This window comes from Homo sapiens, chromosome 12, assembly GCF_000001405.40.
Source record: "Homo sapiens chromosome 12, GRCh38.p14 Primary Assembly".
NCBI lineage: Eukaryota > Metazoa > Chordata > Mammalia > Primates > Hominidae > Homo > Homo sapiens.
This window is the reverse complement of record NC_000012.12, coordinates 49,740,159-49,765,405: the sequence shown is the minus strand read 5'-3', so window position 1 is coordinate 49,765,405 and position 25,247 is coordinate 49,740,159. Positions and strand designations below refer to the sequence as shown.

The window sequence follows — 25,247 nt, the reverse complement described above, 5'->3', positions numbered from 1 at the left end:
ATCTGCCCACCTTGGCCTCCCAAAGTGCTGGGATTACAGGCATAAGCCACCATGCCTGGCCAACTTTTACATCTTTATTAACTAATGCACTTAGAATACAGCCGGGCAGCAGTGGGTGAACAAAAATACTTGCAGAATGAGTGGGTATCATTTGCCTTTTTTCCATTATGCATCCTCAAACTCCAAAGCTTGGCTGCACATCTGAACCAACTGCACATATCACCACAAACAACATATAGCAAAGGTGGCAGGGGGTGGAGAGGACTGGAAAAAAAACTGGCTTACATATTTGACAGAGAAAATTCTCAACATTTGTGGCATGCTGGGGCTACAGAGTGGGAGGTCTTTGTCTCTGTTCATACTTATGACACGAACTCAATCGTGTCCCACTCCCAGCCCCCAGTAGCAAACCCTGGCAGTATCACAAGCTCCATGACCAGCTGTACCCTTGAATTTAACACAAACACCAGGAAAGGTTAAGGAATTTTCTTTATTTTTTACAAATTAAGACTATGCAGATTTCATATATTTCTGAATCAAAAACACCTTTGTCTTCACAGTATGAGTTAGAATGCAGCCTGAGCTGAAAATCAAGAAACTAGAAAAGAAAGTGGTAGAGATAACTATATTAAAAATCTGTTAGGTATTTTCTTTAAAAGTAGGTGTTTTTTTTTTTTTCTTTCTTTTTTTTTTTTAATATCTTGTCATTCTTGGCACTGTTTCTAAAGAAAAACTCCATTATCCCAAGCAAAAAGCACAGAAGGTGGAGTTTGGCTTCAAGAGATGTTAACTCAAAATCTTAGGCCTAGCAGAGAATCACCAAATTTATGGAGAGTTAACAGGGGTTTAACAGGAAGGAAGTGCCTTTAGTAAGTTCTCAAGCCAGAGGCTGGAGGCAGCAGCTAAATCAGAGGACAGCATCCTCAGTGAAAGTGAGCCATTCGGGGTGGCATGTCACTCCAGGAATAAACACAACTTAGAAACAAATGATTTCGTAGGATAGCACAGTGACATGGTGCACTGTGAACCTGAGGCCACTGTGTCAAACTGTGCACTGGTTGTGAATAGGGAGAGCCAAAAATTATGTCCTACTGGTAATGAGCTTTCAATGGCTCGATCCTCTCACACTGAAGCTCTGTAGAGCAGCTCAGAGCCACAACCACTCCCAACATTGACCCTTCTGGGGGTAGCTGTCTGTGGCAGCCCACAGGAAGGAGCTGGAGATCCCCATTAGGACTGTCCACCCACACTTGAAGCCACAAAACTGCAGGGATTGGGGCTCTCACTGGTTTGGTCGCCTAACTCCCGCCTAAAAGGCCACAAATTTCTGGAAAACAGGTAACAGACCAAAAACTAAAGTGCATCAGTAAAATGAACATTTATCTACTGCCCCGAATCTCTGGCTTGACACTACCTACTGGTGTCCAGTTGGAGACAGACTAAAATGCACTGAAGGACTATTAGGATTGCTGCCTCCTAAGTTATCACAGCCTCGCTCTGTTGATGTGAATGAGGAACTGCTTGGTTGTTAAAGGAGATTTTGCTCCCTGCTGCCCCAAACAGGTCCTTATCTAGGTTTGCTCCCCACTGCCCCAAACAGGTCTGGCAGGATTGGTTACAATGATCTCCAGAGGCTCAACCATTCCCCTTCCCTATCCTTGCTTGGGACATTTAATCACAGCCACCTAGTAGAGGCCGCTCAGTAAGGGGATAACAAACTAAAAAAACAAAAACAGGGCAAGTTTAGGGGAACCCTACGATGCTGTACCTTGATACACATAATCAGCCTTTTCAAAAATGCCTGACAAGAATTAGTCTTTCCTTTGTGCTGAAGTCTTCCCACCCATGGATGGAAGCAGGCTGACTCCCTGAGGGTCAGGCAAGGGGTGGGAAAGGGAACACATTACTTTTGTGAAGGCAAAGCAGAAAGGTGTGTTTGCCAGACCAGCATGGGCAGCTCAGAGGGAGCAAAGCATCCACCAGAAGAGGCTCTCCATTTTCTTTGTAGGGCCTGACAGTTGAGATTTGAGGCTGAGTTAACAATGGGACCACTGAACTTCTTTCCAATGGAAAACTCACGGCCCAGTCCCACAGGAACTGTGCGCATACCAAACAACAATGAGGAAGGAAGGGCCGGGTGGCTCTACCAAACAGTTCAGGTCCACTGGGTGAATGAAGCCTGGTGGGAAAGCGGACTCCTGAAGTTGGCGCCCTCTGCTGGTCCCACTTCTCATCGTGGCGGGTCGACTGCCTGAGTAGAGGAAGAGGCTACAGATGGGGTTGACAAAAAAGGGAGTGAGGGGAACCCCAGGAAGATGAAGCCAAACTCCAAACTATATTCTGCTAATCAGTTTTTTGATCAAAAAATTCAAAATAGAGGAAACCACAAAGTACAAAAGCTTTTCTGATGCTTTTCATTATCACAGAACACACCACCTGTAATGTGTGCAAAAAGGAAATGAGGGGTGGAAGGAGAGGAAGTCTAATTGGGAAAGGCTGGATGGTCACTTCATTTCTTCTCTTTCTTCTTATCCTAGAAATGGAGAAAAATCACCCAATTAATTTTTTGACATTTGACATTCAAGCTAAAACTCTTGAGTGAGCATTTAGTTAGGGACTAGAAGTGAGCCAGACAATTAAAAAGAAATGAGAAATGCTTCCTTAGCTCAGCAAGAACTGAATCTTAACCACATCCTACTGGTGGTTCCCAAAGTTGCCGACAGACCGACCAAGAATAAAGGTTAAGCAGCTGTCCCCACCCCCACCCCAGGAGTGCCGAGGTGGGCTGCCTGACCACTCTAGGCTATTCACAGCCACTACAGCTCAGATCCCAACAGTGAAGGCTGCAGATGGCACTCTATCCTCAAAGAGTGAAACTAGAGGCCAAGACCACCAACCAACCATTAGGCGCGAGAAGTGCTCCACCCTGCAAAGTGAGCATGACTCTGGCATAAACTGACATTCAGAAATAATTTGGTCCAGCAGAATTCTTCATTCAATCTTGGATGGAAGCCCAATGTATTAAGGAATGAAAATTCAGTTGCTTGTTCTGAAACTTGTACATCTGCCTAGTGCTCAGTCCAACCATGGCATAGCCCAGACAGAGCCAGCAATCCTATCTGGTCAACTACTCCCGCTACCACTATGCTATCTCTAAGCTCCATAAGGTCTATAAAGAAAAGCTCATTTCATTTGTTTCCCCCACTGCTTGACTCAACTACGTTAGATACTCATTAGCCCTATATAGAATGCTTCCTTGGAAAAAAAAATTAACAAATGGATAAAATTAGTCTACTTCTGAAATTTACAACGTCCTCCACAATACCTTTCTCTGAGTCACAACTATATAGCCTTTAAATTATTCATGTAGCAGGTTGTGTTTACTGCCACTGAAGCTTTTTTCCCTTTCATACTAAACGCAGGAATTAGTTAAAAAAATTTTTTTTTCACTTGCTGCTTTTTTTCTAACAACTGAAGACTTCTGGCTTACCTCTTACTCAGTGGCCTGCCTTACAGTTACCCTGGACCTAACACAGTGTGTGAGCAAGTTTTCAAATCTGAAGTATACACACATGCCAAGCTCAGGAGCCATTATTGTCTCATCTTTGGGTTGTAGGCTAACTAACCTTTTCATTCATGGCCAGGATCATCATGAGTTTTCTGAAGACAGTAATGAAATCTAAGAAGAGATCAATGCAGTGCCTGAAAGGCAAGAACCAGATTAGGATCTGTACTTCAGACTTTTTTATCCACAAGCCCACAAAGATGCAGAATATAAACCCCACCCCTACCCCCACGAGCCAGCTTCTCCCACACTTTACCCCCAACTAAGGAAGTAAAACTCTGGTGTCTGAGATCCTTTAGACTCATCGAAGTCATGCAGCATAGAGAAAAGAGACTGGGCCAGGCACAGTGGCTCATGCCTGTAATCCCAACATTTTGGGAGGCTGAGGCAGGTGGACTGCTTGAGCCCAGGAGTTCGAGACCAACCTGGGTAACATAGCAAAATCCCGTCTCTACAAAAATTAGCAGGGCATTGTGGCATGTGCCTGTAATCCCAGCTACTGAGGAGGCTGAGATGGGAGGAACACCTGAGCCCAGGGAGCTTGAGTCTACAGTAAGCCATGACAGTGCCACTCTCCTACTGCAGCTTGGGTGACAGAGCAAGCCCTGTCTCAAGCGCTCTGAACTCTGCAGAGGTCCAAGTCTGAACCCTTAACTACCACTAATTAGTCATGAGACTGAGAGAATCACTACATTAAAAAAAAAGTGCCGAGCACAGTGGCTCACACCTGTAATCCCAGCACTTTGGAAGGCTGAGGCGGGCATCACCTGAGTCAGGAGTTTGAGACCAGCCTGACCAACATGGAGAAACCCCATCTCTACTAAAAATACAAAATTAGCCGGGCATGGTGGTGCATGCCTGTAATCCCAGCTACTCAGGATGTTAAGGCAGGAGAAACACCTGAAGCCGGGAGACGGAGGCTGCGGTGAGCCAAGATCACACCGTTGCACTCCAGCCTGGGCAACAAGAGCGAAACTCCGTCTCAAAAAAAAAAAAGTGAGCTGGGCATGGTGGCCCATGTCTGTAATCCCACCACTTTGGGAGGCTGAGGAAGGCAGATTGCTTGAGGCCAAGAGTTCGACACCATGTCCTCACGGGGCAACGTGGCAAAACCTCGTTCTACTAAAATTACAGAAATTAGCTGGACGTGGTGGAGAGTGCCTGTAATCCCAGCTACTAGGGAGGCTGAGGCACAAGAATCGCTTGAACCCAGGAGGCGGAGGTTGCAGTGAGCTGAGATGTTGCCACCGCACTCCAGCCTGGGTGACAAAGCAAAACTGTCTCAAAAAAAAAAAAAAAAAAAAAAAGTGGCTGGGCATGGTGGCTTAAGCCTGTAATCCCAACACTTTGGGAAACCAAGGCAAGAGGACTGCTTGAGACCAATCTGGGCATATGGTAAGACCCCATCTCTACAAAAAATAAATTAGCCTGGCATGGTCGCACGTGCCTGTTGTCCCAGCTACTCAAGAGGCTGAGGCAGGAGTACTGCTTGAGCACAGTAAATTCAGGCTGCAGCGAGCTGTGTTCATGGCACCACACTACTGCCTAGGCAACAGAGCGAGACCCTGTCTCTAAAAAAAGAGTGTATCTTCTACTCATTGTTTAAAAAATACAGAAGTATAAATAGGAAAAGGAGAAAGATCTCTTTCCCTCACTTCTGCTTGGAGGTAGCCACTATGGATATGTAAATATATAGCCACCCCCCAACACTTTTTTTTTTTTTTTTTTTGAGAAGGAGTCTCGCTCTGTCGTCCAGGCTGGAGTGCAGTGGTGCAATCTCCGCTCACTGCAAGCTCCGCCTCCCCGGTTCACACCATTCTCCTGCCTCCGCCTCCTGAGTAGCTGGGACTACAGGTGCCCGCCACCACGCCCGACTAATTTTTTGTATTTTTAGTAGAGACAGGGTTTCACCGTGTTAGCCAGGATGGTTTCGATCTCCTGACCTCGTGATCCGCCTGCCCCGACCTCCCAAAGTGCTGGGATTACAGGCGTGAGCCACCGTGCCCGGCCCCCACACTTTTTTTTTTTTTTTTTTGAGACAGGGTCTCGCTCTGTTGCCAGGCTGGAGTGCAGTGGTGCAATCTTGGCTCACTTCAACCTCCACCTCCTAGGTTCAAATGATTCTTATACCTTAGCCTCCTGAGTAGCTGGGATTATATACATGTGCCACCATGCCCAGCTAATTTTTTTATATTTTTAGTAGAGATGGGATTTCGCCATGTTGCCCAGGCTGGTCTCAAACTTCTGAGCTCAAGCGATCCAGTGGCCTCAGCCTCCCAAAGTGCTAGGATTATAGGTGTGAGCCACCACACCTGGCCTATTAGCCCAGATTTTTAAAAAATCTGAAATCTTTCAGGAATTGAGGAAGATTATGGTACACAGTTCCAAAACCGTGGGTTTCCTACCACATACACTCCCAAAGCTTGGCCACCTATGTTCAGCCAATGCCAACCTAAGTTCAGCTGCTGAACGGTATGCCTCAACCTTCATGCTTGTTAAAGACTAGTTCCCACACTCACCAGATATAATCTTGATCTCCATGTTCGGCCTTTTCAATAATGAGTTGAGTATCAAAAAGGACGAAGCCACACATGACCACCAGTCCCACATACAGGTTTGCCTAACAAATGTAAGAGATGAAGTTACTATACAGCAGAAGTTGCAGAGAAAAAAAAACCAGCCATACTTTCTGGCTCATAGTCACTTGAAAGTACATCAAATGTGAACCCTATGAACATTACCATTCACGAGAACTGCAGCCTAGGGTGAAGACCACTTTACTTCCCTAGGCACAATACTGCACTGGTCACTGGAAGAGTTTCAATCATTTTAACAATCAGCCACTGCCAGACTGGCCTTACACAAATGGTGTCTGAGCAAACCATTTTCTCTTAGCAATGCCCAACCTTGTGCAGCCTGTTTTCACTTGTGGCAGAAGGCTCCATCCTATGAAGGATAATGGGAAGGCTTAGAGAGCACTGCCCAAAGTAGTACAGAAAGAAGTGCAAAAAAAAAAAAAAAAGGAAAGAAAGAAGTGTGAGGCAAATGGCTGCTGGAAAGTTCCAGGCTAAGTCTTACCTGGAAAAGCCAAATGGATCCAAAGAAAACATTCCCCAGGGAAGACAAAAGCAACAAGCTCAGGGCTGACATCAAGATACCTATAAGACACAGCAAAAAGCTGTCTTGAGAGAAGCCAAGGCAAAGTAAAGCAATCCCATTAAAGCCATTCCTTAACTTCCCCCAGAATGAAGGTTAATCTCAACTCAATAGTCGCAAAGGAGTTAGGGGTAAGGAAGGAGTACTAGTGAGAATTCTGGCTAAAAAGGAGCCCCCATTCCCTGTTTCCCAGTTCACACTTACCTCCCAGAAAGAGGTAGCTACGGCGCCTGGCATAGAGTGCACTGAGGGTGAAGCAGGTAAAGATCATTGCCGTGCCCATGAAAGCAGTGGGAAGGATGCTGTTAGAAAAAAAGACCATTAGATTAAGGGCTACAGGTATACGGTCTACATTTAGAAGGTATATTCATAAAGATAAAAGCACATAAGACACTACCAAAAGAGTTACCTGGGGTTGACAGCAATACAAAACTCCAGGGCAGGGCCCAGGCCAACTCCTAGAAAACAGAAAACCCAGAACACAGTATTACGATCAATTCTTGAATAGGATCCTCATCCAAAAGCTGATCCCGAAATATAGGCATACTCATGCTCTTAACAAACGTGGACTAAAGAATTAAATCTCTCTCCCCTCCGCTGTAATTGTTTTCAATAAAATGTATACCTGACTGCGTTGTTTTTTTTTTTTTTATAGAAATAGCTGCAAAATTGTCCTCTTAGCTGAAAATCATGGATGACCTCAGGGAGGGTACAGAGATTACAAGAAAATAAAGTAGGCATGCCAAACATTTCAGAGCTAGAGTGATGTAAGATGGTAATATAGGCCAGATCAGGAATTAGAAAAAAAGGATAAAGAGCAAAACAGTGCCTCGTGGCCAGCAACCTTATAGTCATGTAGGACTGACTCCCCTTTGTAGCAAAGAAAGGTGAGACTGGTTCTGCAGGTGGACACCTGCCAACAGGAGGGCAACCTGTTCCAGCTCTAACATTTCTTTCGTTCTAATTACTTTCCTCTTTCCTTCTGATAATTCCACCCCTTAATGCCTTCAAAAACTAGCTTGCCCTGATGCAAAAATTTTAATCCCTAAATCTCTTCCTTTCTAAAATTTCTCCTACGTATATTAGACTGTCACTCAGAACAAGCTGTTCTAATTCAAATGTTTTGCAAACATTTTTATTACATAGCTTGAGTCTTGTTTCCTTTATGACAATTCTAGAAGAGCTGTGCCTTTCTTTTTTTGAGAATCAGCAAAGTGTCCTGCACAATAGATCTCAATGTATAGCTTTAATGCACTGTCTGTAAGACTCAGAACAGAAGCTCCTATGATAATTGCCAGTATGGGTGCAACTATGTCGGATTCTCAAGTCTAGTTTATTAAAAGTTCTATGCCTACTATTAATAGGTTATGCTACCTAAGCTCTTGAACCTCATTCATTCAAGTACACAATGGCTATTTTTGGACACAAAAGTAGAGTCACAGTGGCTACTCACAGAGTTTCCCCTAATGGATGGGGAAACAAAATGAACCTATATGAGATTAGAAAGCAGGCCAGGAAGGCCAGGCACAGTGGCTCACGTCTGTAATCCCAGCACTTTGGGAGGCTGAGGCAGGTAGATTACCTGAGGTCAGGAGTTCGAGACCAGTCTGACCAACATGGTGAAACCCCGTCTCTACTAAAATACAAAATTAGGGCCAGGGGCAGTGGCTCATGCCTGTAATCCCAGCACTTTGGGAGGCCGAGGTGGGCGGATCACGAGGTCAGGAGTTCGAGACCAGCCTGGCCAACATAGTGGCCCATCTCTACTAAAAATACAAAAGATTAGCTGGCGTGGTGGTTGATGCCTATAATCCCAGCTATTCGGGAGGCTGAGGCAGGAGAATCGCTTGAACCTGGGAGGTGGAGGCTGCAGTGAGCCAAGATCGTGCCACTGCACTCCAGCCTGGGCAACAAGAGTGAAACTCAGTCTCAAAAAAAAAAACAAAAAAACAAAAAAAAGCGCTGGGTGTGGTGGCTCATGCCTGTAATCCCAGCATTTTGGGAGGCTGAGGCGAGCAGATCACGAGGTCAGGAGATCAAGACCATCCTGGCCAACATGGTGAAACCCCGTCTCTACTAAAATACAAAAAATTAGCCGCTGTAGTCCCAGCTACTTGGGAGGCTGAGGAAGGGGAATCGCTTGAACCTGGGAGGCAGAGATTGCAATGAGCTGAGATCTCGCCACTGCACTCCAGCCTGGCCACAGGGTGAGACTCCATCTTAAAAAAAAAAAAAAAAAAAAAAGCCAGGAGGCAGGGTACTATGGCTCACGCCTGTCATCCTAACACTTTGGGAGGCTAAGGTGGGTGGATCACTAGGTCAAGAGATCAACACCATCCTGGCCAACATGGTAAAACCCCATCTCTACTAAAAATACAAAAATTAGCCGGGCATGGTGGCACATGCCTGTAATCCCAGCTATTTGGGAGGCTGAGGCAGGAGAATCGCTTGAACCCGGAAGGCAGAGTTTGCAGTGAGCCAAGATCACGCCACTGCACTCTCTAGCCTGGGTGACAGACGGAGACACTGTCTCAAAAAAAAAGGAAAAAAAGGGCCAGGCACGGTGGCTCATGCCTGTAATCCTAGCATTTTAGGAGGCCGAGACGGGCGGATCATGAGGTCAGGAGATCAAGACCATCCTGGCTAACACGATGAAACCCCGTCTCTACTAAAAATGCAAAATATTAGCCGGGTGTGGTGGCAGGTGCCTGTGGTCCCACCTACACGGGAGGCTAAAGCAGAAGAATGGTGTGAACCTGGGAGGCGGAGCTTGCAGTGAGCCAAGATCAAGCCACTGCACTCTGGCCTGGGCAACAGAGCGAGACTCTGTCTCAAAAAAAAAAAAAAGAAAAAAAAAGGGGGGGGAACTAATTAAGAGATACTGAAAATATAGCTCACCCCTCAAAATTAGACAAATCCCTTAACGTACCTGTAAGGAATGCAAATCCAGCAAGAAGTCCCAGTCTTTTCTGTTCAGTTTCATGGCTATGAGGTGTTGCCATCAGCCAAATCATCAATATCAGGGAGCCCAAGGCAGACAGCAGGCCAGCCTGTTAGAGTCAGAATCAATCAATCATTAAACACTTGAAAGTTTCAAATTTATTTTGCAAGAGACCTTTATTGGGTTCAAACACTCGTCTGAACTTCCTAACATTTGCTTATAACCTGGAGGCAGGAGAAAAAGTAGTGTTTTCTCAGGGATGGGGCTGAGGAGATAACCCAGAAGCCTTGAAGCACAGAGTTAGGACCATGGTGGATGCTGGAGGCTCTTCTGGCTTGCGTAGTCCTTCAACTACAGTACAACTACCCAAGTCAAACTATGAGTGAGTCTTGCCCAAAAAATAGAAAGGATGAATGAAACGTGACAAGTGCTTAAAGTACATTCCATCTGTAGAACAAATAGAAATGATCCCCCTTTGGTCACTTTAAAAAAAACATGGTGGCTCACGCCTGTAATCCCAGCACTTTGGGAGGCCGAGGTGGGCAAATCACCTGAGATCAGGAGTTCGAGACCAGCCTGACCAACATGGAGAAACCCCGTCTCTACTAAAAATACAAAATTAGCCAGGCATGGTGGCACACGCCTGTAATCCCAGCTACTCAGGAGGCTGAGGCAAGAGAATTGCTTGAACCCAGGGAGGCAGAGGTTGCAGTAAGCCAAGATCACGCCATTGCACTTCAGCCTGGGCAACAAGAGTGAAACTCCGTCTCAAAAAAACAAAAACCAACAAACAAAACCCCCAAACACCAAAACACCAAGACACATACATATACAGAAGACTGCAAAGTACTAAAATGTTAACAGTAGTTATTTCTGGATGATGGGATTATGGAAGTTTCTAAAATACTTCCTTCTCATTGCTAGTCTGTTTTCTGAATTTTCTAAAATGAACACATATTAGCTTTGTAGTAAGAAAAAAGTGTTTCTTTTTTTAAAAACGCCAAGTGGGAAAAACTATAGGCATTAGAAAAAAGAGAAATCATTAAGGATGGACGTAGACACTGAAGTTCCTTCCTTCCTTTAAAGGAAGAAGTTGATTCTCATTATTCAGTGTTTATGTTATAAAATCACAGTGGACAATGAATTAGTAAACCCTTGTTCCTGAGGGAAATAAAAGGTAGGTAGGTTCCTGCAAGCCTAAGGTCACAACATTTTCATCAAATGATCAATAGATACCTTGCTTTTATATGTGTTTCTGTTTAAGGACACCTCATTTGACATTATTTTTGATTCCTTAACATTGAACTCACAGTTACAACAGCAGTACAACTCATGCCGGAATGAAGCTTATCTAATATACACATTTTCTTCATAAGGCACATTACGGTCTTTCTGCACTCAGGAATACTAGACAGCACTTCAGCACTATGCTGTTTGCATTCTGAACAGCAAAATTAAGCCAAGCATGGTGGCATGTGCTTGTATTCCCAGCTACTTGGGAGGCTGAGGTGCGAGGATCAATTGAGCCCAGGAGTTTGAGACCAGTCAGGACGACACCACAAGACCTCCACTCAAAAAACCCAGCAAAATCACCAATTAAAAGCACAAAAATACAAAGGAAGTGGCACTAAATGACCATGAAAAGAACATTTGTTTACAATACGAGAACTGAAACAAGAAGGCAGAGCACTGTCTTGTTCAACCTCAGCTGAAAACACTGCAACAGCAGGGTGACTCAACTTTTTCACCACTCTGTGACTGTCTGCAAAAAGTGCCATGAGTAACAGAGCGAGACTCTGTCTCAAAAAAAAAAAAAAAAGTGCCATGAGTATTGATTTTGGGGTTACAAATTTTAATGAGTAGGTGAATTCACAAATATAGAGTCTGTGAATAACAAGGATTGACTGTATTTTACTAAATTATTTAAGGGCTAACCTTGCCTAAAACTCAAGCGATCAAAGCCCTATCCTTTGAGTGTCTAAAGTAATTTTTCACACAATCCCTGCCAGGAGATGCCTGAACATAAGGATAGTTCTCAACAGTGGCAAATGCCAACAGAGGCCCACCTCTACATTTATGCTAAAAGGAATACTCTACAAAGGCACAAGACTATGTTAGGGAGTCTTCAAACTTTCTGGTTATTCCTCAAACTGTACCTTCTACTCCTGCTGACCAAACCCAGATTCTCTCTCAATACAGGAAAACAAATTGTTGAAGGTTTTTACCCAACCATGCAGACAACAGTTATCGGAAAATAAAACAGGTCAATTCCTTAAAAAGATCTCAATCCTGCCTCTCCTGATAGTTAATCACACAATCAGAGTTTTGTAAAGGAAGAATGGAGGAAAAGATAAAAAAGCTTCTGTGCCAAAGAATCCCAGCATGCATGCCATGCGCCTACTCAGTGGGTGGGGGTCTTGTACGTCAGCAGCACACCATTCAGTGCCAAGGTTAAGGCATTCTGTTTTTCGGTATCTAGAGGGGGCACAGTTGCCAGAAAATTAAAATGGCTTTACATGTCCTGATTTAATGTCTGAGTTTAAATCCTAAACTACTGATAAAGATTAAAGAGAGGAACAGGGTCCCTTGGACCACCTTGCTGAGCTGGTTTTTTCCTAATGTAATTTGTACCACAGCAACCAGGAGAGAAAATCGTTCTTACCTGAATGAAATGAGTGACCATATGGACATAGGCCCCTGCAGCCGCCACAAACATACAAAGGGCAAAACTTGCATAGACCTTCTTCAGGTGCTGCTGCGTTGACGGGGTTCTAAGAAAAGAATGTGAATAAGAGCAATCAGTCCCAGATCAATCTCATATTTAAGCTAAGAAGAATCATTTCTCTCTTTCCCTTCCTGGGAATATGTAAAAGTTCTGTTACAAATAGTTTGAAATACTTTTAGGAAAGCATATTACAATAAAAAATAATATTTTGAAAATAGGTTAACAGAACCTTAAATGCTGAGGAAGACCAAATGCCCAAAATTATGAATAATCAGTACCCAAACTAGAATAAATGCCTTTCCAATAACCACACAGCAACGTGTAGAATTTGGACATTTTCATCAGGTCCTCTGGATTCTGGCCAAGTTAATTTGTTAGCTTATACACACAAAAGTTATAAATGCAGAAAAGGGACAAAGAGATATGAAAAGAAATGCAGTACAAAACCAGTCAAGGTCAAAACACTTACATATGAGAAAATTTTAAAAGCGCATCAAAGTTGATCTTTCGATCAAATATGTTCATGGTTCCAGAGTCCGTGCAGCAGTCTCCACTCTGCAGAATAAAGAAAGGTTAGAGTCATTAAGTCATACAGAATCACACGAACAGCTTATAAAAAAAAAAAAAAGCAACATGTAAGTTCAGAAAGATGAAAACTTGCCTAAAATTCTACAGCCCTAACACAACCATTTTTATTTTTATGTGTCCTACAATATATTTGCAATCATAGTCAACCATCTTAAAGACGACAGAGGAATTGAATGCATCTTCTTCTCCCTCAAACTATTTTGTTACTATCATCTGATTTCTATTCTTTCAGGTGATTTGCCACTTTAAAAGGCAGTAAGTTTATAAAAGAAATTCTCAATTAACAATCTAGTTAAAGGAACCTAGACATTGGCACATAAAGCAATTTTATGTCATTGTTTCAAGATGCTAAAGAATTCCCTTGGCTGGGCATAGTGGCTCACTGAGGCCTATAATCCCAGCACTTCTGAGAGGCTGAGGTGGGCGGATCACCTGAGGTCAGGAGTTCGAGACCAGCCTGGCCAACATGGTGAAACCCTGTCTCTACTAAAAATACAAAAATTAGCTGGGTGTGTTGGCACACACCTGTAATCCCAGCTACTCAGGAGCCTAAGACAGAAGAATTGCTTGAACCTGGGAGGCAGAGGCTGCAGTGAGCCAAGACACGCCACTGCACTCCAGCCTGGGCAACAGGGCAAGAGTCCATCTCAAAAAAAAAAAAAAAAAAAAAAATTATCTCACTAGCAGCACCTCAAAGATAAAAAACAAAACTTTGACTAGTCTTAACAAAACAAACAAAAACTATAAAGCTGGGTCTGGCATTAAGACTTGCATTTTAAATATATGCGTATCAAATTTTCTTAACCTAACACATTTAAGAACTGAACTGAAAAGGACTCACAATTTTAAAAAAAGAGAGGTTCCTACCTCCATAAAAAAGGAATTTATGCAGAAAGGAGGATTTTTTGGGGGGTATTTTTTTGACAGTTTCAGAACCTTTCCTACAGAAAGGTTAGAACAGTACAAAGAATTCCTGTACAACCTTCACCCAGATTTCCTAAATGCTAATATTTCACATTTGCTTCATCTTCTTTCTATATAGCAATATATAGACAGATGTAAAAATATTTTTTCCCTAACCATACAGACACAGTGCTCCTAAACACTTCAGTGTGTATATCCTGAAAGCAATGATCAAAATCAGGATATTAATACTAATGCAATACTATTTCTAATCTGCAGACCTTATTCAGATTTTTGCCAACTGTCCCAATGTCAAAAAGGGCATTTTTAAACTGAACTATATCCAGGTTAGATCATATCAACACCATAAAGTCAAGTTCTTAAGTTTTGCTCCCTCCCCTATTTCACATGCAATCCTAAGTAAACGTGTTCAATCTACAGTACTAAAGATCCAGTCAAGAACTTTCATCTCTTCTAAATATAAATCCTCCAAACTCCTATCAGGGCCATAATGCCCATCCATTTTAAATCTACCAGAAAAGGAGGGGCAGGGAGGAAGGGATTCAAACATAAAGTTGTGTGAAACGCCACCTACTGAATGAAGCACTCTAATCAGCACCCAGCCCAACACTCAGAACAATTCATCTAGGTAATAATAAAAGTTACAGTCCCCAAACAAATTTCCTAAGGAATCCTGGGCCAGTGGAAAGATATAAACATCATCTGCTTCCTGAGGCTCTCTCCCACAAATGAAACAATCACAATGGCTGGCTTGCTTTCTCTGGTTTCTTCTTTCCTTCTCTCATTAACATCACTACTCACCTCAGAACTTTTGTTAATTCTGTTCTTAAGGACAGATACAGTGAGAAGCTGCAGAACCTACTAAGGTTGTTGCTCTCTCCTCTGAGTCACACGGATCTGGGCCCTCTTGATCTAGATGGTGCAATTATTGCAGGTTGTTACAAGGCCAACCACAGCCTTCCATAACCAAGATGAATATGACTATGTCCTCTAGAGAGCACACTTACAGCATGGCAGAATTCAGCACCTGGAAAGTGTCTTTGTTTAAGGTTTCCCATTAACACCCCTAATGACATCCCTAGACAGCACTTACAATAATACTGAAGCAACTTTCAGAGCCAAGTTTCTCAGTATTCACAACAGCAATGCTAAAGAACCTCTTGCTTCCAATTACAAGAATTAAAGAAAGGTAAGGGATGGAGCGGGGTGGATCCTCAAACGCCCAGGGGATTCTAAGAAAGAGGCAATGCTCATGTAACCAGACCCTGCTTGGCGGAATCTGTTCGAGGGGAGAATGGCAGAAACTCCCCTTTCTCAGATACTTCTCTGACGTTTCCCAGGGGGTACTGACTGCCTCTTTCTGGTTCTCTCTTAACAACTGTTGATGGAAAAACCAAAACCATCAAAGGCTGTGTGGGTTGGGGCAGGGGGATGAGATGTCAAACGGCAATTTCACTTTGATTTAATAGAAGCTTGTGGTTTGAAATCATTAAAAAATAACTAAAACTTCTGTTTTTCAATATCAGTATTTCAAAATTTAAAACAAAACATGTAACTACCAAATATTATAGACGCAAAAGGGCACAGCAATTTTATTAGCTTTATGGAGAAAAAAAAGAAACCTGGTAAAGCAGATGGTCCCTGACTTACCAGGGTTGACCTATCACTGGGAGAAATTGATACTCATTCGGTACACTCCTTGATTTGCGATGGCTTACATCTGGATACACCCATTGTAAATTAAAAATATCGTTGACTCAAAAATGACTTACAGGTTGGGCACAGTGGCTCACGCCTGTAATCCCAGTACTTTGGGAGGCCGAGGCAGGTGGATCACTTTGACGTCAGGAGTTCGAGACCAGTCTGGCCAACACGGCGAAACCCTGTCTCTACAAAAAATACAAAAATTATCTGGGCATAGAGGCACGCCCCTGTAGTCCCAGCTACTTGGGAGGCTGAGGCAGGAGAATCACTTGAATCCAGGAGGTGGAGGTTGCAGTAAGCCGAGATCACACCACTGTACTCCAGCTTGGGCAACACAGCGAGACTCCGTTTCAAAAAAAAACAAAAATGACTTACAAAAAGAAAAGGACTTACATTTTCAACTTACGGTATTTTCAACTTATGATGGGGTTTTCCAGATGCAGCCCCGTCTTGAGGAGCATCTGTATACATTTAATGTATATGACACAATGTACAGATGACAATTTCAGAAATGTTAAAATGTGAGAGGGAATACATAGGTCTTAGAATCAAAGAAATATGATAGTTTGCTCTAGAGCTGTTCCAAATAGACAAGAATATACAGATAAGTAATGAGATCAAACTGTTCTGACAAGTTTTGCCAGATAAAATAAACTTACCAAGTTTCAATCTTAGCTTCAACTAGCGAAGCTCAGAAAAGATACCTACATTTCAATGGCCGATATGCAAACTCAGCCAAACAAGATTAAGTTGCACTTAACTCAAAAATAGCAGCTCTCATATCAAGTATTTTCCATTCTAGGAGCAATCAGCTCTTAAGAGCTTGAAGTATTATATTCAGTACCATTAACCAAGTAACTCGCTAACATTCCAGAGGAGCCCACAGTTAAATGAAAATCTTTGTTTTAAAAAAACACATTAAAATGTTATAGTTTACCACAATAAAGAAAAAAAGTACATTACAAGCTGCTAAAAAATTCAATACAGCAGTCCTTTCACACCTCTAAGCCTATTACTTACTAATTCAATTCTAAAATAAAGAGGAGGGGTTATTTACATAGAATACAATGTGGATAGTGCCTCCTGGAGTTGTGGAAAATCTGCCTATACTGCGTTTGTAACTGAAAAGTAAATGTTCAGGTGTTAATCATAACCAAATTCCTCTAATTTCATTCAGAGCCTCCTGTTATGCCTTCATCCCAGGAGAGGAAAACCTGTCAGAAGCTGTCAACATGTCATGCACATACTGCTAAAGTTTTGCTGAAGTGTCATCATTCTGTGGTATCCCTGACCAGCCTCCTCTGCCAGAGCCATGCAAAAACAAAAAGCTAAGAGCTTAATACATAGCTCTCCCAAGAAAAAACTCAAGTAAACACAATTGTTTGAGTTAGATATTCCTGTGGTCTGCTTTTGCTTGGGAAGACAGGGACAGCAGGGGCTGGTAGGAGGAGACAGGCATTCTTAGCAGTGGACATCTAGGTCATGTTAAATGCCTTGTTTTGTTCTAGGTATCTCCCTTACCCTTGTCCTAAAATGAAAGACTATTATCAAGGGTCCAGCCTTAAATTAAAAACAAAACAAAACAAAACAAAAAAAAAACAGGCTGGGTGCGGTGGCTCACGCCTGTAATCCCAGCACTTTGGGAGGCAAAGGCAAGCAGATCATGAGGTCAGGAGTTGGAGACCAGCCTGGCCAACATGGTGAAACCCTGTCTCTACTAAAAATACAAAAATTAGCTGGGCGTGATGGCGGGCACCTATAGTCCCAGCTACTCAGGAGGCTGAGGCAGGAGAATCGCTTGAGCCAGGGAAGCGGAGGTTGCAGTGAACTGAGATCACGCCATTGCCCTCCACCATGGGTGACAGTGCGAGACTACGTGTAAAAAAAATTTAAAAATTAAAAAAAACACAACCATTCTCTTCAGTCCTATTCCCACACACCTAGGAGCTACAGTGAACATGAAACATGCTGAAGTAGCCAAAAGCTATGCAAAACAAAACTATCGTGGATTTAGTATGCGTTCTATGCAATGCTGGAGCCAAGACAGACTTTGCCTCAGTGTGTACAGCAACATTAAAACAGCAAGTCAAAGAAACACTGTTCGCACATTTAATTAAATATCAGTTTATGTTTTATTATGAAGACAATAAAGTCTCAAGGTTATGTTCACTTCCAAAAAACAAAAAAGGAAAAAGGCCATGCACAATGTCTCACACCTGTGAGCCCAGCACTTTGGGAAGCCAAGGTGGGAGGGTCGCTTGAGCCCAGGAGTTCCAGACCAACCTGGGCAACACAGCAAAACCTCATCTCTGCAAACAATTAAAAAATTAGCTGGGTGTGGTGGTGTGCGCCTGTTGTCCCAACTACTTGGGAGGCTGAGGAAGGAGAATTGCTTGAGCCCAGGAATTTCAGGCTGCAGTGAGCCATCATCATGTTGCTTCACTCCAGCCTGGTAACAGAGCAAAAATGTGTCACTGCACCCCAGCCTGGGCAACACAGCAAAACCGTTTTATAAAATTAAAACAAAAAAATTAGTTTGTCAATTACATGGTTCTTTCTTCCTGTTGTATAAATTCAACCATCCTGAACCTTGTTCCCACATATCTAGAAGGGACCAAATTGATACTTAGAAGAAAAATCCCATATAGTTTAAAAGAGGGGAAAGGGCTGGGCACGGTGGCTCATGCCTGTAATCCCAGCACTTTGGGATGCCTAAGTGGGTGGATCACCTGAGGTCACGAGATCGAGACCAACCTGGCCAACATGGTGACACCCAGTCTCTAGTAAAAAAATACAAAAATCAGCCAGATGTGGTGGTGGGCGCCTGTAATCCCAGCTACTCAGGAGGCTAGGGAAGGAAAATCGTTTGAACCCAGGAGGCAGAGTTTGCAGTGAGCCGAGATTGCGCTACTGCACTCCAGCCTGGGTGACAGAGCCAGACTCTGTCTCAAAAAAACAAAAACAAAAAAAGGAGGGGGAAGAACTGTTAGTAATTTGTCAGTAGTTTTTTTTCTTCTTCTTCTTCTTCTTCTGTGTTTTTGGCCAAGAAAGCTTTCCATTCATTAGTTTTTACTACTGAGTAATGTTCATACACTGTATAACCATGTCCCCTGCATAGTGGTTAAGACTGCCTGCTACTTCTGAATCCTAGTTATTTCCTTAGCAGTGGGACATGCAGCAAGCTGCTGGCACTTAACCTCACTGTACTTCAGTTTCACCTACCATGTGTAAAATACTAGTACATAACAATCCTTATTTCCTAAGGTTGCAGATTAGGTGAGATAATACAAATAAAGTTCTTAAAATAGCTCTTTGTACATAGAATGAGTTCAATACATGGTAACCATTGTTATTACTGGTGTACTAACATTGTTATTACTGGTGTACTCATTACTACAATATCTTCAGTAGATTATTCTCTTTTAAAAGTCTAGTTTTAGCCTGTAATCCCAGCACTTTGGGAGGCTGAGGCAGGCGGATCACTTGAGGTCAGGAGTTCGAGACCAGCCCAGCCAACACAATGAAACCCCATCTCTACTAAAAATACAAAAAATTAGCCAGGCGTGGTGGTGGGCGCCTATAATCCCAGCTACTTGGGAGGCTGAGGCAGGAGAATGGCTTGAACCCAGGAGGCGGAGGTTGCAGTGAGCCGAGATTGCACCACTGCACTCCAGCCTGGGCGACAGAGTGAGACTCTGTCTCAAAAAAGAAAAAAAAAAAAAGAGAGAAAAGAAAATTATAAACTGAAACATAAAGGCACTTGAAAAATCTCATTACTGGTAAAAGTATAGATGCTCGATTTACAATGAAGTTACATCCCAATAATCCCATTGTAAACTGAAAGTATCGTAATTTATGCACTTACTACATATAACCTACCAAACATTATAGCTTAAGCCTAGCCTACCTTACCTTAAATGTGCCCAGAACGCTTACATTAGTCTGAAGTTGGGCAAAACTATCTAACGCAAAGCCTACTTTATAATAAAGTGTTAAATATCTCATGTGAAAATATCATACCAGATATCCCTAGTCTGGGAAAAGATGGAAATTCTAAATGTGCTGGGTTTTTTTTTTTGAGACAGAGTCTCGCTCTGTTGCCCAGGCTGGAGTGCAGTGGCACGATCTCAGCTCACTGCAACCTCTGCCTCCTGGGTTCAAGTGATTATCATGCCTCAGCCTCCCAAGTAGCTGGGATTACAGGTGTGTGCCACCATGCCCAGCTAATTTTTGTATTTTAAGTAGATACAGGGTTTTGCCATGTTGGCCAGGCTGGTCTCAAACTCCTGACCTCAAGTGATCTGCCCACCTCGGCCTCCCAAAGTGCTGGGATTACAGGCATGAGCCACCATGCCTGGCCTGAAGTACAGTTTCTAGCAAACAGGTAGCACTTTTGCATCATTATAAAGTAAAAAATCATTAAGTCCAATCATCATAAATTGGGGCCCGTCTGTACTTTTGTTTAAATGGCATACCTTTCTTCTAGCACATTTATACTATCTCTCTTGTCCCACAGGGCCATGGACATTTTGAGACAGCCTAATAGCCACTAAGTGATAATCTGATATGGTAAAGGATTTGATGAAGTAAATGCGCAAAAGCTTGATGCTTTCCCTGCCACTCCCAGGAGGTAGGTCAGTTCAGTTTCGGAACCATCCAAGGAATTGTTTCATTCAACTAGGACCAAGCTTTGATCTTCCCAGGTGGACACCCTAGATGTCCCCGCCTCTCCCTTAACTTGGACCCAAATCCCTGGATTAGCTAATACTGAATCCATCTCCTCCAGGGGGCTGCCTCAAAACCAAACCAGTAACTGGAGATGAAATGCCTACTGCCTTCAGTAAATTATTTTTTGTACCAAACGTTGACACTACTTCATCTCCCTCTCTATAACGTTTGACAGATACTGAATCCTAAGAAGGCCCCAAAATCCTAAATACATAATCTTCTTCCAGTATAAACCAGTAATCCCTCCCTAATAACACCATATTTAGCCCAAATGGGGAGCACACATAAATTAAGACAAACAGCATACCCACTTCACCCTCACTGGTGAAGCTCCTTTTTCACGTGTTTTGGATTCCAGTTAATTGTGCAGAAACTTCTCACCCTGAGGGCAGAGCTTGCATCTGGTTCAGCTCAGCTATCCCCAAGATTTAAGCACTACAAAGTCTCTAGAGCAAATTTAGACCCTATTATCAGATCAAGAGTGCTGTAACCTCAAATCAACATTCCCCAGCTGGCTCAGAGTGGAACCTACCTCAAGGGGTCACTTAGGTAACCTTTAAGTCAAGGAGACAGCCTTTCTCTCCTTGGTCTCGAACACCATCTTTGGAAAACAAAATGTGTATAAAAACTACGAAGGGCTGCATGCAGTTTGGTTAGAAACTCTGGGGGAACAAAACAGAGTGGTAGAAGACATTTCTACCAGATTCTACAACCAGGTCAAAGTAGTAAAGGAAAAAAAATCAGAAGTTAGAGCATCAGAATATTCAATGGTTTCTCTAGAGAAAATTAATACCCTTGGGCAGTTTACGAAATAAAATGAAACTCGTCAGGCCAGCAGTAGTACCTTCTATACTAATACTCCTGACTATATTTATATAAAATTTATAACTTTTAAGGTGCTTTTATATATGTATCACCTTCAATCCTCACACATCAACCCACAAGGAAAGGGAAAGATTAGGCCCATTTTATACATCTTTTTTAAGTTCAAAAAGGCAATGTAATAGTGGCAAGAGGACAGGATTTGGTGTCACAAGTGCTGCCACTTTCTACTATATAACCTAGGAAAAATCATTTTACCTAAGGTTATTTCAGCTTCCTCATCTGTAAGATAACGATGATGATCAATACCTGCTCTACTGAATGCCAATAAGAAAATCTGTGTGAAATCAACGTAAAGTACTAAAACAAACATTAGTATTGATTTGACCAACATTAGAAAGTTAAATAGCAGAGCCAGAACCAGATTTGGGGTCTTCTGACCACTATAGTCTAGTGCTCTTTTTACTATTCCATCCTACAGTAGAAAAATAAGCTTTCATTTATATAAGCTTTCAAAAGTTTCAGCCATAGGTGAAAACAAATCTTTAAAACAAAAAAACCCTCCCAAAACATACATTGATTCCTATGACATTTTTCTGCATTTTCAGCATTTGTATAAAGAGCGCGAACTATATCTATAATCAGGGAAAATAACTTGAAAATGCTAAGTATCTAGATTAATTTTACCTTTTCTTATTCTTCAGGAGAGATGACTCTTTTTCTTTAGGAAAGGATTACACCTGTAATCCTAGCAATTTGGGAGGTCAAGGCGGGCGAATCGCTTGAGGTGTGGAGTTCGAGACCAGGCTGGACAACTTGGCAAAAGCCCGTCTCTACTAAAAATACAAAAATTAGCTGGGCATGGTGGTGCGCGCCTGTCATCTCAGCTGCTTAGGAGGCTGAGGCATGAGAATTGAATGCACCAGGGAGGCGGAGGTTGCAGTGAGCCGAGATTGCACCACTGCACTCCAGCTTGGGTAAGGGAGTGAGACTGTCTCAAAAAAAAAACATAATAATAATAATAAATAAATAAATCGCTTGAGTTCTGGAGTTGGTAAGCCTGGGCAACATGGTGATACCCCATCTCCACAAAAAATACAAAAATTAGCTGGAGCTGGTGACGTCCACCTGTGGTCCTAGCTACTCAGGAGGCTGGGGTGGATCACCTAAGCCAGGAGAGGTCAAGGTTCAAGTGAGCCATGACTGCGCCACTGCACTCTAGCCTGGGCGACAGTGAGACTCTGCCTCAAAAAAAAAAAAAAAAAAAAAGAGGAGGAAGGTACTAAACCATGTTTCCACAACCAGATAAATAACGGAAGAAGCAAACTATGGATCAAAAGTACAGATTGTATTTCTCAAGGGTTCAACTATTCTGTCCCTACTGGAGGAAAGTGGCGGCAGAGAATCTAAATGTCAACATATTCTTTAGGCCAGAACAAAAATATTAGACACAAAGAATAAGAAAACACCAAAGAGTGTAAATACAATAATTACAGAAAAAAGTGTGTATACGCAGGTCATAAGAAATGTGTTTATGCAATTCCGGTATCTTTCCAGAATTCAATTCTTAAACCACACATACAAAAGATAAACTGTAAATAAATATCAATAAGTAACTAGAAAAGTCCATTTGCCATTTATTTACCTTTGACCTTAAAATCCTTGTCTGTTTCAAGCACAGTCAGCCCTTCTACTGGGTTACACATTCACAAGTTGCTAGAACACAGTCTCAAGTTCATAGTGATTTTTGTTGTGGGGGTGGTCAATGAAAGGCTGATGACCCCAAGCAGCCCGGGCTGGCACCGGGTAGTAATTCTACACTCAGTAAATATACAAAGATACCAAAGCCTACTTGTTACCACAGGTCCAGCAAGTAGGCCCAAGATAAAAACTGCCCAACGACGCCCTTGCTGAGCAGACTTAGAAAGACGCCCACAAAACCTCAAGACCAAGCAAAGCAAAGCCACCTCACCTGCCCAAAGGTAACCAATCCGAAAAGAGCGGGGCCGCCCCGTGGGCCTGGAAGGCAGCCCCAGCCCCAGACTCCTCTCACTTCCCGCCTCTGCCGTTGGCTAAGTAACTGAGGAGCCTCGCGTGTCACAGAGGAGTGTGACATCACCCGCCCGCCAGGCCCTACCTCGAGTCTTGGCTCCGGGCCGCTCACCCAGGGTCAGCCCGACCAAAGGACCCGCCCGCAGCCGAACAGCAATCGGATGGGTGGAGTTTCGCGTTCCTTCACCTCGGAAGGACGTGCTCTGAATTCGAACGATCGAAGCTAGGCCAAGGGGCCCTGCGTCTACACTTAGTAGAGGAGAAGGAGCGGGAGAAAGGAAAAGGCGGGCTGAGAAGGGGCCTTCGCCAGCGCTCTGGGGCAGAATAGAGGCCTCGACACCCCCCAAAACCCCCGCAGACTCGCCTCCGCCCCACCCCCGCTTCAGCACTGTTGCGCACGCGCAGCACTAGTTCCCTAGCTTCCCTCCACACCCTGTTTTCCCGAGTCTGGTCTCCGAGCAGGGCCTCGTTCCTTCAGGGTGCCATCTGTCCGCAGAAGGAAGCTACTGCCACTCTTGCTCAGACAGTAACTGCTAACTCCCTTTCCATTTCTCACTCCCAGTTCGCCCAGTACTAGGTTCAGACGTACCTTCCTAACCCGCCTCTCCAAGGCCTACCAGCGCTTCTAACACCGGATGTGCTCTGACTCGCCCACTTCCGCTCCCGATCTTTTACCCGGCGTTCGCCTCTCGAGGGAAACCCCGCCCTGTGGTCCGCTTAAGACCAGTCCTCATTGGCCGTTGGCCGCACTCCTGCCTTTCCATTGGCTGTACGTGCATAAACAGCGGCTGCTTAGTTCAGAGGCCTGAGCTTGTCGATCAAGACTACTGGCCACCAACCGCCTCGAAGCAAAAGGTCTCCGCTTTCTTACCGTAGTAAGCCAGGGTCACGGTGCGCTGCTGCCTCTAGTGGAGAAAGTGAAAATGGGCCGGCCCCGCCCGGGACAGCCCGACGGCTTGTGAAGGGGTAGCGCTGCAGTCTTGGGATTCTGGCTTTAGTCTTGTCATGCAGTGTTAAAGGGGGAAAGCGATTCAGAGAACACATTAAAAAAAAAAAAAAAGCGCCCTCGCAAGGGGCGATTTACTGTGAAACTAGTGGAGCGTAAGCTTCAGAGCACCTTTGAAAACACTTCGATTTCTCTAGAGTATGCGAGAAGGAAATAGCAGGATTCCAGGAGGAAAACCAGAATTTAGGAAACCACTTTCTGGAAAGATAGAACAGTTCTTTTCAGTAAAGAATACAAATATCCAGGGTATGATTCTCAGTAGGCAAACCCAGGTATGCAATTAATAGAAGTTAATTTTCGGCTGGGCGTGGTGGCTTACGTCTGTAATCCCAGCACTTTGGGAGGCTGAGGTGGGCAGATCACTTGAGGCCAGGAGTTTGAGACCAGCCTGGCTAACATGGTAAAACCCCATCTCTATTAAAAATTTAAAAAATTAGCTGGGCGTGGTGGCGTGTGCCTGTAATCCCAACTACTCGGGAGGCTGAGGCAGGAGAATTGCTTGACCCTGGAGGTGAAGGTTGCAGTGAGCCGAGATGGTGCCACTGCACTCCAGCCTGGGAGACAGAGCGAGACCCCGTCTCAAAAAAACCAAAAAAGTTAATTTTCTATAATACAACCTAATTTTTGCTGTAGTGTAGCAGGACAAGCCGCAGACAAAACCCCTCAGACACCGAGTTAAAGCAGGAAGCGGTTTATTCCGCCAGGAGCATCGGCCAAGACTCCTGTCTCAAGAGCTGAGCTCCCTGAGTGAGCAATTCCTGTCCCTTTTAAGGCCTCACAACTCTAAAGGGATCCGCTTGAGAGGGTAGTGATCGATTGAGCAAGCATGCACCGGTAATTAGATCAGAACAGGACAGGGATTTTCACAGTGCTTTTCTATACAATGTCTGTAATCTATAGATAACATAACCGATTAGGTCAGGGGTCGATCTTTAACTACGAGGCCCAGGGTGTGGTGCCTGGCTGTCTGCTTGTGGATTTCATTTCTGCCTTTTAGTTTTTACTACTTCTTTCTTTGGAGGCAGAAATTGGGCAT

At 43.6% G+C, this 25,247-nt stretch overlaps 1 protein-coding gene across 10 annotated transcripts, besides 5 other annotated features; it reads right to left on the bottom strand.

Annotated features, from left to right (window-relative positions):
* Window positions 1–471: 471 nt before the first annotated feature.
* TMBIM6 (transmembrane BAX inhibitor motif containing 6) lies at window positions 472–23,849 on the bottom strand. 10 transcript variants are annotated; one of them, XM_047429491.1, is made up of 14 exons: window positions 23,795–23,849; window positions 23,291–23,449; window positions 22,799–22,968; window positions 21,841–21,989; window positions 20,864–20,993; window positions 12,857–12,942; window positions 12,325–12,433; window positions 9,651–9,771; window positions 7,131–7,179; window positions 6,926–7,023; window positions 6,644–6,723; window positions 6,085–6,185; window positions 3,627–3,702; window positions 472–2,533 (listed from the first exon to the last, which is right to left on the bottom strand). In XM_047429491.1, exons 6-14 carry the CDS (start codon window positions 12,910–12,912, stop codon window positions 2,510–2,512), a joined length of 714 nt encoding a protein of 237 aa, XP_047285447.1. In that variant the 5' UTR covers window positions 12,913–12,942; window positions 20,864–20,993; window positions 21,841–21,989; window positions 22,799–22,968; window positions 23,291–23,449; window positions 23,795–23,849; the 3' UTR covers window positions 472–2,509. The 10 variants fall into 10 exon arrangements, with proteins under 10 accessions (XP_047285447.1, XP_047285448.1, NP_001401392.1 ...); XM_047429492.1 differs by having other exon boundaries at window positions 20,864–20,932; NM_001414463.1 differs by lacking the exons at window positions 20,864–20,993; window positions 21,841–21,989.
* Window positions 11,466–11,555: an enhancer, noted in NCBI's record as "active region_6332". NCBI's record gives its function as "activates an Ori minimal core promoter by ATAC-STARR-seq in GM12878 lymphoblastoid cells {active_cell/tissue: GM12878}" and the evidence as "EXISTENCE:reporter gene assay evidence [ECO:0000049][PMID:35858748]".
* Window positions 23,533–24,224: an enhancer, noted in NCBI's record as "H3K27ac hESC enhancer chr12:50134965-50135656 (GRCh37/hg19 assembly coordinates)". NCBI's record gives its function as "activates a minimal SCP1, AML or CMV promoter by ChIP-STARR-seq in naive H9 embryonic stem cells {active_cell/tissue: H9 hESC(naive)}" and the evidence as "EXISTENCE:reporter gene assay evidence [ECO:0000049][PMID:30033119]".
* Window positions 23,533–24,282: a biological region, named in NCBI's record as "H3K27ac hESC enhancer GRCh37_chr12:50134965-50135656".
* Window positions 23,593–23,912: an enhancer, noted in NCBI's record as "active region_6331". NCBI's record gives its function as "activates an Ori minimal core promoter by ATAC-STARR-seq in GM12878 lymphoblastoid cells {active_cell/tissue: GM12878}" and the evidence as "EXISTENCE:reporter gene assay evidence [ECO:0000049][PMID:35858748]".
* Window positions 24,153–24,282: an enhancer, noted in NCBI's record as "active region_6330". NCBI's record gives its function as "activates an Ori minimal core promoter by ATAC-STARR-seq in GM12878 lymphoblastoid cells {active_cell/tissue: GM12878}" and the evidence as "EXISTENCE:reporter gene assay evidence [ECO:0000049][PMID:35858748]".

What these genes read in the sequence shown, in the direction of transcription:
- TMBIM6 (XM_005269126.5), bottom strand. Translation starts at nt 23,269, where the DNA reads ATGTCACACTCCTCTGTGACACGCGAGGCTCCTCAGTTACTTAGCCAA. An exon ending in TGGTCACTCATTTCATTCAG is followed by an intron (nt 9,772 to 12,324) that starts GTAAGAACGATT and finishes TGACTCTAACAG; the next exon opens with GCTGGCCTGCTGTCTGCCTT. An exon ending in TAGCTACCTCTTTCTGGGAG is followed by an intron (nt 6,724 to 6,925) that starts GTAAGTGTGAAC and finishes TGTGTCTTATAG; the next exon opens with GTATCTTGATGTCAGCCCTG.